The sequence below is a fragment of the Homo sapiens genome, chromosome 17, assembly GCF_000001405.40.
Source record: "Homo sapiens chromosome 17, GRCh38.p14 Primary Assembly".
Classification (NCBI taxonomy): domain Eukaryota; kingdom Metazoa; phylum Chordata; class Mammalia; order Primates; family Hominidae; genus Homo; species Homo sapiens.
In genome coordinates this window covers 31,943,337-31,960,231 of record NC_000017.11, presented here as the reverse complement: position 1 = coordinate 31,960,231, position 16,895 = coordinate 31,943,337, and the positions used below count along the sequence as shown (strand labels likewise).

The 16,895-nt window shown below is 42.4% G+C and overlaps 1 protein-coding gene across 6 annotated transcripts in view; it reads right to left on the bottom strand.

Annotated features, from left to right (window-relative positions):
- Positions 1–16,895, bottom strand: part of SUZ12 (SUZ12 polycomb repressive complex 2 subunit) — a 64,032-nt gene that overhangs the window by 40,807 nt on the left and 6,330 nt on the right. For 4 of the 6 annotated variants that reach the window (XM_047435704.1, NM_015355.4, XM_006721794.4 and 1 more), the window contains one exon: positions 12,547–12,615. The exons of 1 other annotated variant lie outside the window; for it this stretch is intronic. In XM_047435704.1, the coding sequence (XP_047291660.1) occupies positions 12,547–12,615 (69 nt within the window). Of the gene's footprint in view, positions 1–3,541; positions 3,769–12,546; positions 12,616–16,895 lie in introns of those variants that run through there. One more of the 6 variants, XM_047435705.1, reaches the window with a different exon arrangement.

Sequence of the window (16,895 nt, the reverse complement as noted above, 5' to 3'; positions counted from 1 at the left end):
CTCAAAAAAAAAAAGTAAACACTCTGATATGTACTAGAATAAAGTGTACCAATGATCCCTTCCATAGGTGGTTTGTTCCAAGGAAAAGGGCAAAGTTTTCTCTCCCTTCCCTCTGCCCTCTCTTGCAGCTACTTTGTCCACATCTTAATTGGTTAGGCTGGACCAGATGAACGGGAGGAAAAGAAACACGTAAGGTTGGTCAGGACTATTTGGTTTTAGGCCACAAAAAAATCTAGTTTACATGACCAGAATAAGATATAAGAAACTTAGTTCATCTATGTCATGTGCTCCCTGCATCTTCTCAGGAAGTAAGACACATGATAACAAGAAATCAGGTAAAGAATTTGAAATTTTGAGATGCAAATTTCAGCATTCCAAGCACAAACATCTGACAGTTCTGATACAGTCTACAGAAAATGATGCTAAGCTAATTCATAAGAGACTAACACTTTGAAATCTAATTCAAGGAAGAGCCTCCCATTTTAAGAACAGCCAGATCCCACAGAGGAAGTAATTTTTATGACAAGAGGAGACCAAGATTAGTGCCTCTAATTTATATACATGAATCTGCTAGCAGCAGGAATAAGGCTTCATTTTAAGGGCATGGCAGTATTACCTCAAAACAGGACAAGTCTGATAATCTACTTGGTTTCTATAGTTAGATGTTAGCTATTCAACTTTTGTTATATACATTTCATCCTATGATATGTAAAGCTGAGAAACTCGTGTCTACATCAAGTCCAATATTCTGAAATCCAGGATCTCAAAATATAGGGGTTAGACGCACTTTCTAATGAGAAGATAAAGCTCAATGGTGGATGATGTGTGTGTGTCTATTAATTACAAATGGATCACTCTGCAGAAGTACTGTGAAGCAAACAAAGGAATTACTACAAAACCAAAAATTATACAAGGAATATTTTTACAATTTGTTCTTGAATATTCAAATTTTTAAGAATCAGATATGCTTAAGTGGCAACTGATGAGGCACCTTCAAGAGTAAGTATGCAAAAAGAAATGTATAGCCAGGTTCTGAAAAAAGAACAAAAACTCAAGACTGAAAAGATGACAATTTGAAAACAACTTCAAAGCTTATAGTCAAGGCAAAGTGTATTAAAAAAAAGAAAGGGAAAACATCAGATCTTATTAATGGTGGGAAAGACACATAACCAACCTAAGAGGTAGTCTACAGATTTTATTTATTTATTTATTTTGAGACGGAGTCTCCCTCTGTCACCCAGGCTGGAGTGCAGTGGTGCGATATCTGCTCACTGCAACCTCCACCTCCTGGGTTCAAGCAATTCTCCTGCCTCAGCCTCCCGAGTAGATGAAATTACAGGTGCACGCCACCATGCCCAGCTAATGTTTTATTTATTTATTTATTTTTGAGACAGAGTTTCACTCTGTAGCCAGGATGGAGTGCAGCGGTGTAATCTCGGCTCACTGCAACCTCTGCCTCCCAGGTTTAAGCAATTCTCCTGCCTCAGCCTCCCGAGTAGCTAGAAATACAGGCACATGCCACCACGCCCAGCTAATTTTTGTATTTTTACTAGAGATGGGGTTTCACCATGTTGGCCAGGATAGTCTCAATCTCTTGACCTCATGATCCGCCTGCCTTGACCTCCCAAAGTGCTGGGATTACAGGCGTGAGCCACCGCACCTGGCCTAATTTTTTGGATTTTTAGTAGAGATGGGGTTTTTACCATGTTGGTCAAGCTGCTCTTGAACTCTTCACCTCAAGTGAACCACCTGCCTTGACCTCCCAAAGTGCTGGGATACAGGCGTGAGTCACCATGCCTGGGCCAGCCTAAAGATTTTAAACTGCAGCTAAATGTACAAAATAGAAAAGTAGGGAAAAATCATTAATACAATAGTTCTCTTAAAAATAATTTAATAGGTCGGATGCAGTGGCTCACGCCTGTAATCCTAACACTTTAGGAGGACAAAGTGGGCAGATCACTTGAACTCAGTAGTTCGAGGTCACACTGGGCAAAACGGTGAAACCTCATCTCTACAAAAAGTACAAAAGGGGCTGGGCGCGGTGGCTCACGCCTGCAATCCCGGCACTTTGGGAGGCTGAGGTGGGCGGATCATGAGGTCAGGAGATTGAGACATCCTGGCTAACACGGTGAAACCCCATCTCTACTAAAAATACAAAAAAATTAGCCGGGCGTGATGGCAGGCGCCTGTAGTCCCAGCTACTCGGGAGGCTGAGGCAGGAGAATGGCATGAACCCGGGAGGCAGAACTTGCAGTGAGCGGAGATTGCGCCACTGAACTCCAGCCTGGGCGACAGAGCAAGACTCTGTCTCAAAAAAAAAAAAAAAAAAAAAAAAAGGACAAAAGGTGAGCCAGGGCCAGGTGCAGTGGCTCACACCTGTAATCCAGGGCCAGGTGCAGTGGCTCACACCTGTAATCCAGCACTTTGGGAGGCTGAGGCTGGTGGATAACTTGAGGTCAAGAATTCGAGGCCAGCCTGGCCAACATGGTGAAACTCCATCTCTGCTAAAAATACAAAAACTGGCTGGGGGCAGTGGCTTACGGCTACAATCCCAGCACTTTGGGAGGCTGAGGCGAGCAGATCACCTGAAGTCAGGAATTCGAGACCAGTCTGCTCTACCTGTTGAAACCCTGTCTCTAAAAATGCAAAAAAATTAGCTAGGCGTGGTGGCAGGCACCTGTAATCCCGGCTACTCGGGAGGCTGAGGCAGAAGAATCGCTTGAGCCTGGGAGGTGGAAGTTGCAGTGAGCCAAGATCACGCCACTGTACTCCAGCCTGGGCAAGAAGAAAGAAACTCCGTACCAAAAAAAAAAAGAATACAAAAATTATCCGGGTATGGTGGTGCATGTCTGTAATCCCAGCTACTCAGGAAGCTGAGACAGGAGAATTACATGAACTCAGGAGGTGGAGGTTGTAGTGAGCAGAGATCACACCACTGCACTACAGCCTGGGCAACAAAGCAAGACTCCATCTGGAAGAGAAAAAAAAAAAACAAAAAATGTAGCCAGGTAGTCCCAGCTAATCAAGAGGCTGAGGAGAGAGGATCTCTTCATCCCAGGAGGTTGAGACTGCAGTGAGCCAGTGATCGTGCCACTGCACTCCAGCCCGGGCAATGGAGCAAGACTCTATCTCAAAAATAATAATAGTAATAAAATAAGGCCAGGCACGCTGGCACAGGCCTGTAATCCAGCACTTTGGGAGGCCGAGGTGGGTGGATCACTTGAGGTCAGGAATTCAAGACCAGATTGGCTAACACAGTGAAAACTAGTCTCTACTAAAAATACAAACATTAGCTGGGCGTGGTGGCACATGCCTATAATCCCAGCTACCTGGGAGGCTGAGGCATGAGAATCCCCTGAACCTGGGAGGCAGAGGTTGCAGTGATCCTAGATGGCGACATTGCTGAGCCATAGAATGAGACTGTCTCAAAAAACCAAAAAATATATATATATACATATATACATATATATACACACACACACGTATATATAGAGAGAAAATAAAATAAATAATTTAAGAATTTAATGACTTTTTTACATACCACAATACTAGGCGAGAAGTGCAATAATAGCAGAGGTGGGTAGGGAGGGTTTTCGGTGATATCTCGAGGTTCTGAAGTGACCGAAGAGCAGCATCCTGCTCCTGGAACTCAGATTACAATCCTAACCATCATATGTACTACTGGTCTAATGTTAGAAGAAACAGAACAATGCAGAAACAATAACTATATATATTTAAAAACTGACTGGGTGCGGCGGCTTATGCCTGTAATCCCAGCAGTTTGGGAGGTTGAGGTGGGCCGATCACGAGGTCAGATCAAGACCATCCTGGCCAACACGGTGAAACCCCATCTCTACTAAAACACAAAACATTAGCCAGGCATGGTGGCACACGCCTGTAGTCCCAGCTACTCCAGAGGCTGAGGCAAGAAAATTGCTTGAACCCAGGAGGCGGAGGTTGCAGTGAGTCGAGACTGCTGGCGACAGAGTGAGACTCCCTCTCAAAAAAATAGTAATACTGGCTGGGCGTGGTGGCTCACGCCTGTAATCCCAGCACTTTGGGAGGCCGAGGCGGACAGATCACGGGGTCAGGAGATTGAGAACATCCTGGCTAACACGGTGAAACCCCATCTCTACTAAAAAATACAAAAAATTAGCCGGGCGTGGTGGCAGGCGCCTATAGTCCTAGCTACTCAGGAGGCTGAGGCAGAAGAATGGCGTGAACCCGGGAAGGCAGAGCTTGCAGTGGGCCGAGATCGCACCACTGCACTCCAGCCTGGGCGACAGAGCGAGACTCCATCTCAAAAACAAAAAATAATAATAATAATAATATACAACTTTAAAAACAACAGGCTGGGTGTAATGGTTCACACTTGTAATCTCAATGCTTTGAGAGGCTGAGACAGGAGGACTGTTAGAGGCCAGAAGTTTGAGACCATCTTGGGCAACATGACAAGACAATGGATCTCTACTGTAAGTTTTTTTGAGATGTAGTCTCACTCTGTCGCCCATGCTGGAGTGCAATGGCGCGATCTCTCCTCCCTGCAACCTCCATCTCCCAGGTTTAAGCGATTCTCCTGCCTCAGCCTCCTGAATAGCTGGGATTACAGGTGCACGACACTCTGCCCAGCTAATTTTTATATTTTTAGTAGAGATGGGGTTTTTACCATGTTGGTCAGGCTGTTCTCAATCTCCTGACCTCGTGATCCGCCCGCCTCGGCCTCCAAAAGTGCTGGGACTACAGGCATGAGTCACCGTGCCCCGGCTACAAAATTTTACAAAATCATCCAGGCATGGTATCTTGCGCCTGTGGTCCTAGGCTATTCGGTAGGCTGAGGCAGGAGGATCATTTGAGGCCAGGAGGTCAAGGGTAAAGTGAGTCATGATCGCACAATTGCAATCCAGCCTGGCTGATGAAGTGAGACCCTGTCTCCTAAAAAAACCTTTTTTTAATAAAATAAAATAAGTGGGACATGGTAGCATGTGCCTGTAGTCCCAGCTACTCAGGAGGCTAAGGCAGGAGGGTTACTTGAGCCCAGGAGTTCATGGCTGTAGTTGAGCCATGATCACACCACTGTACTGCCACCTCAGCGACAGGGCAAATCCTCATCTCTAAAAAGTAAAATAAAAAATAAAGTAAGACAACAGAGCCTGGAAGTTCGAGGATGCAGTAAGCTATGAACCTATCACTGCACTCCCGTGTGGGTGACAGAACAAGACCCCACCTCTTAGAGAACAACAACAACAAAAAGAACGAACAAACGACTTTCTTAAGACCAACATCCTTAAATTACCTTGAAGACAATGCACTGTCTGGCCCTGGCCATCTGCTCCAGCTTCTTCTCATACCACTCTCAAGGAGACTTGCTCTTTCTACACAGCTACTCTGGCATCAAATGCTTTATATGTAATATTCCCTTTAACTAGAACCACCTATTTGTTCATCCTCCCACCCCATTTTACTTCTGTACACTTCTTTCAAATCTCAGCTTATTTCTTCAGAGATGCCTTCCCTGATCGTCATTATTCCCAAATCTAACACCTCAAATGAAAGCTGGTTCTCCTGTTTTATACACTCACAGTTTTCTTATGCTTTTCTTTCCCAGCACTTATTTCATATTTATTAAATGATTATGTCTTTCTCCCCTAACACTAAGCTCCATAAAGGCAGGGCCTTCATCCATTTTGTTCACCCTTATATACCCGAGGGCTTAGTATAGTGCCTAGGACATTGCACACTACATAAATGAAACGCGCCCCCAAGAATATAGATGCAGGCCTTCTTATTGTAAAAATAAATGCTTAAAAAGGGGGAGGTTTAGAAAAGGAAGGTTACTAATTCAAAAGCTTAGGTTGCATCAAAAACAAAGTTGGCTGGGCGCAGAGGCTCACGCCTGCAATCCCAGCGCTTTGGGAGGCCGAGGTGGGCAGAACACGAGGTCAGGAGTTCGAAACCAGCCTGACCAATATGGTGAAACCCCGTCTCTACCAAAAATACAAAAGTTAACCGGGCGTGGTGGTGTGTGCCTGTAATCCCAACTACTCAGGAGGCTGAGGCAGGAGAATAGCTTGAACCCAGGAGGCGGAGGTTGCAGTGAGCCGAGATGGCACCACTGCACTCTTGCCTGGGCAACAAAGCAAGACTCTGTCTCAAAAATAAATAAATAAATAAATAGTCAAAAAAGGCACACTGACTTATCAACCTACTAAAAATAAAAATGAGCCGGGCTCGGTGGCTCACACCTGTAATCCCAGCACTTTGGGAGGCTGAGGCAGGTGGATCACAAGGTCAGGAGATCAAGACCATCCTGGCCAACATGGTGAAACCCCTTCTCTACTAAAAATACAAAAATTAGCTGGGAGTGGCACCGCGTGCCTATAATCCCAGCTACTCGGGAGGCCAAGGCAGGAGAACTGCTTGAACCAAGGAGTTAGAGGTTGCAGTGAGCCGAGATCGCGCCACTGCACTCCAGCCTGGCAACAGGGCGAGACTCAGTCTCCAAAAAAAAAAAAAAAAAAAATTGAGGCTGGGCATGCGGGCTCATTCCTGTAATCTCAGCACTTCAGGATGTCGAGGTGGGAGGATCACTTGAGGATAGGAGTTCAAAACTGGCCTGGGCAAGATGATGAGACCCTGACTCTACAAAAATTCAAAAAATTAGTGAGGTGTGACAGTACATGCCTGTAGTCCCAGCTACTCAGGAGGCTGAGGCAGGAGGATCCCTTTAGTCCACAAGTTCAATCCATCAGTGACCTATCATTGTGCCACTACACTCCAGCCTCGGTGACAAAGCGAGACCTTGTCTCAAAAAATAAAAATAAAGCCAGGCATGGTGGCTCACACCTGTAATCCCAGCAATTTGGGAGGTCGAGGCGGATGGACCACCTGAGGTCAGGAGTTTGAGACCAGCCTGGCCAATAGGTGAAACCCTGTCTCTACTGGAAAACAAAAAACAAAAATTAGCCAGGTGTGGTGGCAGATGCCTGTAATCTCAGCTACTGGGGAAGCTGAGGCTCGAGAATTGCTTGAACCTGGGAGGCGGAGGTTGCAGTGAGCCAAGATCATGCCACTATATTCCTGCCTGGGTGACAGAGCAAGACTTTGTCTCAAAAAATAAAAATATATGCTTGAAAATAACCCTAATAAAAGTTCTAATTCAGGTATCCTTTGAGGGGATTTTTCTCCAGCTACTAACAGAAGACCAGGAATAGAAGAGGAATAAGGGCAAGAGAGAAGTGACATTTTGCTTCGTTTGGCCCTGGTAAACACTTGGAAGCAACTCAGATTTAAAAATCTTTTCATGATGCATTTTAGTCCATGGAGATGCACTCAGCACTCAAGAGTTGTTACCAGAGAATTCCAACATTGGGGACAGGCACGGTGCCACACGCCTGTAATCCCAGCACTTTGGAAGGCCACGGAAGGCGGATCACTTGAGGTCAGGAGTTCAAGACCAGCCTGACCAACATGGTAAAACCCTGTCTCTACTAAAAATGCAAAAAGTAGCTGGGCGTGGTGGCAGATGCCTGTAATCCCAGCTACTCAGGAGGCTGAGGCATGAGAACTGCCTGAACCCAGGAAGAGGAGGTTGCAGTAAGCCGAGATCGCGCTACTGCACTCCAGCCTGAGCGACAAAGCCACATTCCATCTCAAAAAAACAGCAACAAAAAAAAGATAATTCCAAAATTGGTAGGACAGCATAAGAATCCCTAGAATCCTGCTAGCATATACCACTACACAAAGGCAAGAGATTTATTCTAATCAGCCATAGTGCCTGGTCAAAATCCATGAAAAATTCAAAACTGGAGTACCAGAAACAAGAGCTGGAAAGGATGTAAGGCATTATATCAGACCTTCTGTAAAGAAAATAAAGGCCAGGCGTGGTGGCTCACACCTGTAATCCCGGAACTTTGGGAAGCCAATCTGAAAGGATCACTTGAGGCCAGGAGTTTGAGACCAGCCTGGGCAACATAGCAAGATCCTGCCTCTACAAAAATTTAAAAATTAGCCAGGCATGGTGGCATGCACCTGTAGTCCTAGCTATTCAGGAGGCTAAGATGGGAGGATGGTTTGAGGCCAGGAGTTAGAGGCTGCAGTGAGCAGCCACTTGTGCTCCAGCCTGGGCAACAGAGCAAGACCCTGTCTCTTAGAAAAAGAAGGCTGGGCGCAGTGGCTCAGCCTGTAATTGCAACACTTTGAGAGGCCAAGGTGGAAGGATCACTTGAGGTCAGGAGTTTGACACCAGCCTGGCCAACATGGTGAAACCCTGTCTCTACTAAAAATACAAAAATTAGTTGGACGTGGTAGGGCATGCATATAATCCCAGCTACTAGGGAGGCTGCGGCAGGAGAATCTCTTGAACCTGGGGGACAGAGGTTGCAGTGAGCCAAGATCGCACCACTACACTCCAGCCTGGGCGACAATGTGAGACTCTGTCTCAAAAAAAAAAAAAAAAAGGCTGGGCGCGGTGGCTCACACCTGTAATCCCAGCACTTTGGGAGGCCAAGGCGGGTGGATCACGAGGTCAGGAGATCGAGACCATCCTGGCTAACATGGTGAAACCCCGTCTCTACTAAAAATACAAAAAATTAGCCAGGCGTGGTGGCACGCACCTGACCCAGCTACTCAGAAGGCTGAGGCAGAATGGCGTGAACCCGGGAGGCGGAACTTGCAGTGAGCTGAGATGGCGCCACTGCACTCCAGCCTGGGTGACAGAGCGAGACTCCGTCTCAAAAAAAAAAAAAAAAAAGAACTAACCACCATTTAATAGCTCATGTTTTTCTATCACCTCCTTCCACCAACAAGTTTCTGCAAGTGACTTAAGACAACTGTAGGTCTAAAATATAAAAGACCGTGAAACACCAACTTCTTTTGAACAGATAATGCTCATATCTTGGTTTAGTTTATAAATTACTACAAATGTCATAATAAACTCAGGCATTTATTTGACTGAACTAACTTTTGGGCTATACTACTATGGTATTTTTATCTTGATACCCCTTGAACTTTGAGGAATGAAATATATTGGGCTCAGGAGCAGACATACTATAACTTTGGCAGTGCTAAAGGAATATGAATTCTAGTGGAAGACTCCCAGACTAGACCTGTACAGATCTGGGACCCAGTCAAACTGAAATAGTACAAAGAATATATGCCGGGCGCGGTGGCTCACGCCTGTAATCCCAGCACTTTGGGAGGCTGAGATGGGCGGATCACGAGGTCAGGAGATCGAGACCATCCTGGCTAACACGGTGAAACCCCGTCTCTACTAAAAATACAAAAAATTAGCTGGGCAAGGTGGCGGGCGCCTGTAGTCCCAGCTACTCGGGAGGCTGAGGCAGGAGAATGGCGTGAACCCCGGCGGGCAGAGCCTGCAGTGAGCTGAGATCGCGTCACTGCACTCCAGCCTCGGTGACAGAGCGAGACTCCGTCTCAAAAAAAAAAAAGAACATAAATGGAGGAGAGATACTTTTGTGTACGATTTAAGATATTAACTTCTACTAACTAATGTTATGGAACAACAAAGATTTATCATCTTTTTTCTTTTTTTGAGACAGAGTCACACTCTTGCCCAGGCTGGAGTGCAGTAGCACAATCTTAGTTCACTGCAACCTCTGCCTCCCGGGTTCAAGGGATTCTCCTGCCTCAGTCACCCAAGTAGCTGGAATTACAGGTGTACACCACCTCGCCTGGCTGATTTTTGTGTTTTTTGTAGAGAAAGGGTTTTCCCCTGTTGGCCAGGGCAGTCTCAAATTCCTAGCCTCAAGTGATCCACCCACCTCAGCCACCAAAATGCTGGGATTATAGGTGTGAGCCACTATGCCCGGCCTGTGTTATCTTTTAAGAATTTGACAATAGATTTTAGAAGCAAATATTTATATTGCTGGCATCATATACTGGTGTTTAGGGTCCTTCCTACAACCCTGTGTGATAGGTTTAGGAGAAAAATAAGATTACCTTAATTTGAAATAAGAAATAGATTAAAGGAGGCTGGGCGCAGTGGCTCATGCCTATAATTCCAGCACTTTGGGAGGGCTGAGGTGGGCAGATCACCTGAGGTCAGGAGTTCAAGAAAAAATTAGTTCGGTGTGATGCCGGGCACCTGTAATCCCTGCTACTTGGGAGGCTGAGGCAGGAGAACACGGGAGGCAGAGGTTGCAGTGAGCGGAGATCACGCCATTGCATTCCAGCCTGCACAACAAGAGCAAACCTCCGTTTCAAAATAAATAAATAAATAAACACAAAAATTGGCCAGGCTTGGTGGCTCCCACCTGTAATCCCAGCACTTCAGGAGGCCAAGGCAGGCAGATCACTTGAGCTCAGGAGTTCAAGACCAGCCTGGCCAACATGGTGAAACTCTGTTTCTACTAAAAATACAAAATCAGCTGGGTGTGGTGGTGCACGTCTGTATTCCCAGCTATTCAGGAGGCTGAGACAGGTGAATTGCTTGAGCCCGGGAGGTGGAGGCTGTAGAGCCAAGATCGCGCCACTGCACTCCAGCCTCAGCAAGAGGGAGACTTGGTCTCAAAAAAAAAAAAAAAAAAAAAAAAAAAAAGGGGGGGGGGGGGGGGCTGGGTGTGGTGGCAGGTGCCTGTAATCCTAGATAATTGGGAGGCTGAGGCAGGATAATTGCTTGAATCCAGGAGGTGGCAGTTGCAGTGAGCTGAGATAGCACCACTGCATGACTCCATCTCAAAAAAAAAGAAATAGATTAAAGAAAGTTAATAATGTAGGGTCTTAGCAGTAAATTTAAAATGACACACTTTCTTAATTCATCTTAGTGCCTCTGGGAGCAATACTGAGACATTCATAAGAATCTTGAGAGGCTTAAATGGCCAACTCACTGGTCCTAGCTAGACCCTAAAGACTCAAAAAATTCTCTTCCAAAACTACCAGCAGGAATTTATGTAACCCTCTGATTTTAATGTTTGAGTTGCTATTGAACCCACCAGGTCAAAAGGAACAAAATTACTGGGGAAACAATTGTTCAGAGAGAATTGAACAGTATGTATCTCCCACACACTCTTACTTAGGGAAGCTCTGTAATTTCAAACCCAATGTCACAATGAGATAGTAATAGGGTTTAGTAGTGAAGGTAAACCTTGATGAGGAAGATGAAGAGAAGGGTCCAGTGTTCCTGTTGTTGGTTCATGCTTCCTTCTCACTTGAACCCTGAAATGACTATAGGGCAAACTTTTAATGTGGTCAGGAGAAAAGAAGCAGGGAGGTCAGACCAGGATCTTACTACAGTCTGTATTTTAAGTAAAAAAGGCCCTGAGGATCCCAAGAGCTCTGTCTAGGGTGGGTGACCAGACAAGAATCTGGAATATAAATTCTAGTAAAGAAAAATGTGCGTGCACTGCGAATATTCTCAGTTCTATCTTATAGGGTCTCCCTGGGCATTAACAGATATAACAGGTAACAATTCAGGATCTCAGCTTCTAGAATGGACTATCACAGTTTATTTACAAGTCAGGATTGCCTAGACATGGAAATATAAATTATACTTCAACCCCACAAGATTGCAGGATATAAAATAAAAAATATCATTTTATAATCCAAGTAAAAAAATCACTTAATTCCAAAGCCAAACTTAAAATAGAAGGAAGCCAAACTGAAAAAAAGGAAGTCTTTTACCAGTCAACAGAACAATGGGAAAACAATGAGATGCATAAATGATGCATCATTAAGTGTATATCCTATCTAAATTCGTAAGCTGTGATTTAAAACTAGGAGGAAAAGAAAAATGCATTGTGACAAATTTTCCAACTCTATTTTTTCAAGAATCTAATATTTTTAGTTCTGCACTCTCTAAAGGAGTTAATGAATGAACAAACACCACCCAAGCTGCTGTTTCTCCTTAGAATATTCAATTTTCTATCAAAAATATCAAAAAATAAAGTTTACGTGTCAAAAAATAAATAGAAGCATACTATCTAGAGTAGACAGATATCAGACTAGTCAGAACATTTAGGGATTCGTTCTAGGTATATATTTGATAATGTACAACAAGTAGATTCTGTCCAAATGTTCAAGTTTCTGAAACTATGTGAGAAACATATTTCAAATATGAAATAAAAGTTATGAATATGTTGCCTGATAGATTTAAATGAGAAGAAAAAGATGGAAAAAAAAGAGAACCCCTCTCATATTTGAGAATAACTTACAAGATACGTGATATTGTGAAGTCCCTGCCACAGTACCTAGCACATATACTATAAATGTGAGTATCCCTCTTTAAATGAGGTGGTAGAGTTAAGACCAACGGCAGAAGTCAGAGGTTTCACTCAAAATGGAAGAAACTGGTAATAAAGATAAACAATAATAAATACAACTACACTGGAGGTATTCAAGCCACAGCTTAAGTATTCTCTGCCAGGAATGCTACAGAAATTAATTTCTGACTTGTGTGTGAGTTTGGACCAAACTGACCTCTAAGATTCCTTCTAACTCCTTATATCAAGGTGATCACTAGGAAAATGATCACTGTAATTTTTCCTCTTTCCTAAAGTATATCACTTAATGTAAACTGATAGATTATCTTACCTATGAGATTCTTGCTCTCCTTTCATTTTCTCTACTTTTGATAACATATCATCAACTTTAAATGTTTTCCTGGAAGAAACAGATAAACAAAATAATCACTTCTCAACTGGGAAAAAGAAACAAATTATACTTTATTGTCACTCTAATAGGCAAGATGGAAACCAGATTTTGATTATTTTTAGTAAGATAAATTATGGATGATTAGCCATAACAATGAATACTATGGAGACGGTGTATAATACAGCACACGAGCCTTCAAGCCCCATCTAAAACGCTAACTTGTTTTCATTAAACCTTTTACCCAATTATTCCCAAACCAGTGATTTCTCCTTACCCATGGTACTTGGTTTATATTTATTTTGACACTTACTTTTCATTCAGTTTCCTACACGTAAAACTCATGTAAATATTTTATTTCTCCTACTAGATTATATATTCCTGAAGGGCAGTAATTGCTCTTCTTCAAGGAAAGCTATGCAGTGCTGGCATAGTGCCTTATACTTGGTAGGTATTCAAGTATCTGTTGAATTAAGCCAAACAAATATAAATTATGTGTATTCTGAAACACTTAACACGTCTACTAAGCAACACAACAAATATGTACTAGCACCATCACATAAAAAAAGAAATATTCTATAAAATATATTTGAAGTTCACAAGGTATCCTCAAAGATTATCAGCAAAGCCTAAAGCTCAATGATATGTCATATTAAAGAGACAGTTGTTGACATCATGAAAAAATTTTGAAGTTAGGGAATGATCCATCAAATCGTAATAAAACTACTACCTTTTAACTTGACAAGTTTAAGAGAAAAAAGCTATTTCCCAAAAAATAGAAACTTAAGTATAACTTCTCAAAGCAATTAAAGAATGAATGGATTGTAAAAACAAGCCTCATCTTAGTTCTTAAGGTGGTCTATGACATGTTCTAGAGATAAGAGTCTAAAAATCTATACCCATATATAATTTAATTAGAAAAAATGTTTCTCTTTATACTCATATAGTCCCTTCCTCTTTAGGACTTGAAAAGCCAAATGTACTCCACATCAATTTATTACTTTATAATGCTTGAATGCAGACACCAAAAATTACGAATAATCTCATTCCTCAAAGAGAGTTTTGTGTTTGTTTGTTTTTGTTTGTTTTGTTTTTGAGATGGGAGTGTCACTCTTGTTGCCCAGGCTGGAGTACAATGACGTGATCTCGGCTCACTGCAACCTCCACCTCCCGGGTTCAGGCAATTCTCCTGCCTCAGCCTCCCGAGTAGCTGGGACTACAGGTGTGCACCACCACGCCTGGCTAATTTTTGCATTTTGTAGAGACAGGGTTTCACCATGTTGGTCAGGCTGGTCTTGAACTCCTCACCTCAGGTGATCTATCCACCCCTGTCTCCCAAAGTGCTAGGATTAAAGGTGTGAGCCACCATGCCTGGCCAAAAAAGAGCTATTTATTGTATTCAACTACTGTAAAAATTATCAGTAGAGAAATGTTAATGTAAATATAGTAAACTACTGATATTAGAGCAGAATTGATACAATCTATATTTCAAGTGAATGAGAAGAGCCTCCATAGTAAAGATCTTAAGGGAAAAAAAGCTTCTCTCTTTACCTTTAGAGTTACTGAAAACTTCAATATTAAAGTTTCATCCAATAGAGTATAGTAAGAAGCGCTTTCTGAAGGATGGCAATATATTTTCAATCTCCACAGATAAGAGAGAAAAAAGAACAAAAATAAAGGACTCTTTTAGGCTAGTTGCAAAGAGCTATTCAGTATAAATACTGAAAGTTACTATTGAGGAGGGCCATGAAACTACTGAAAACTTTTCCGAATAATGTTTATGTAATGATTAAGAAATTCTGTCTGCAGAAAAAGACTGTACGTTCTAAGGTTCATCTCTTCTACCTTTATGAAGCTGTATACAGGAGAAGTGAATAGAATTGATTAACCATTTGAAATAGATAAGATCACAAAAGCAACCCAGCCTTCCTTAGGAAAAAAACAAAACCAACCTCATAAGCAACTATATAAAAGCTGCTCCTCCCCCAACACCAAGGATTTCTGTTCTTTAGAAAGGTAATGTTACTGTAGGTCAGATTTAAAGAAGGAAATAATTATCAAAAGGTCATCGAAAAGGAGCATATTTAAAAATTCAAGAAATTTCAGAAAATTTTCTTGGGAGACTTCAGAAACAGCTCACACGAAATCTAGCAAAATGGATTCAATAAAAGATGCCCTTCTCGTGACCTATATTTTTACTTTGTTGGGGCAGTGTTAGCCTATAGAAGTTGAATACTTCTAGAAAGAGTAAAGCACAAGCTGACTTTAATAAATATACCAGAATTAATATCACGACTGAGAGTATGACTTTAAAGGGAGTGATATGCTTATTCCAACAATGGATATTATGTTGTTGTAATAGTAAAAAACGAGTTCTGAAAACATTTTGAGAAACGACAATCACTGGGCTAAATCTGCCACCTTCCAAAGTCACCAACTACGCTGAAGACAACAGCAAATGAGTTGTGCTTTAATTTCTTAATAATTAGTCCTAATAAGTAATAAGATCAGGCATCTAACAAGATGATTAAATGATTCCCATACTTTTTTTTTTTTTTTTTTTTTTTGAGACACCATCTCCCTCTACTGCCCAGGCTAGAGTGCACCGGCACATTCATAGCAACCTTCGAACTTCTGGGCTCAGGTGATCCTCCTGCCTCAGCCTCCTGAGTATTTGGGACTATAGTCATGAGCCACCACGCCCAGCTAATTTTTTAAAATTTTTGTAGATATAGGGTCTCACTATGTTGCCAGGGCTGACCTATAACTCTCGCCTTTAAATGTAAACTTGTTCACTTGATACGCTCAAATAAATATAATCTTGCACCCAGGACAAAAAACTTGCATTCATAATTACGTAAGGTTAAGTACTAAATGTTACACAAGCAATCCTCCTAACTCAGTCTCCCGAAATGCTGAAATTACAGGTCTGAAACACCATGCCTAGCCTATTCCTACCCATTTCTGTAGGAACTAAACTAGGTGGGACTTAAATTTGCTTCTTGGCTGGCAGATTGCTTAAAAATTCCCCAGACTTTTTTTTTTTAACCTAAAGGGCAATAATTAAGAAAATCAGTTCTTACTTAACCAAGCTTTTAAAATTATCTCTACCCATGCGGACAACAGAAACATATCCTGCAATGGGACAAATTAATAAACATGACGGGAAAATGGAACTTAGATTTTAAATGTGTACTTTTTAGCAGGACGTGGTGTTTCACACCTGTAATCCCAGCACTTTGGGAGTCCGAGGTGGGCAGATCACCTGAGGTCGGGAGTTCGAGACCAGCCTGACCAACATGGAGAAACCCCATCTCTCCTAAAAATACAAAATGAGCCAGGCATGGTGGCGCATGCCTGTAATCCCAGCTACTCGGGAGGCTGAGGCAGGAGAATCACTTGAACCCAGGAGGTGGAAGTGGCAGTGAGCCAAGATTGCACCATTGCACTCCAGCCTGGGCAACAAGAGCGAAACTCCATCTCAAAAAAAAATAATAATAATAAAATAAATGTGTACTTTTTAATCTATGAATGCAAACTTATTTTATAATAATTTAATTACTTTGTAAATTAAGATCAGGTTGCATCCTAGGCAGCAACTCAACTGACCTTCTATATTAAAAATGCTTTGATGGCCAGGCACGGTGGCTCACGACTGTAATCCCAGCACTTTGGGAGGCCAAGGCAGGCGGATCATGAGGTCAGGAGTTTGAGACCAGCCTGACCAACATGGTGAAACCCTGTCTCTACTAAAAATACAAAAATTAGCTGGGTGTAGTGCCACACGCCTGTAATCCCAGCTACTCAGGAGGCTGAGGCAGAATTGCTTGAACTTGGGAGGCGAAGACTGCAGTGAGCCGAAATTGCGCCACGGCACTCCAGCCTAGACGACAGAGCAAGACTCTGTCTCAAAAAAAAAAAAGCTTTGATGAAACAAAACAGTTAGTCGAATTCTACTAGTTTTATAGAATAAATCAAGGGTGGGGAAACTATGGACCATGGTCAAATCTGGCCTATCGCCTGTTTTTGTACAGCCCGGAAGGTAAGAACGGTTTTTACAGATAAACATTAGCAATCGATTTGATTACAGAAAACACTAACTCTGAACCCCAATTCAGCTAAATGTTATCTCCCCTACCCTCACAAAAATAAAATTCTCATTTCTCATTTGTAGGCCTGTATTACAAAATGTTCTATCTTATATTGTTGTATTTTAATCAACAAAAAATTTACAGATTGACATTTCGGACTGAAATTTTAAAAAACTGTAAATTTTTTCTTTCTTTTAAAAT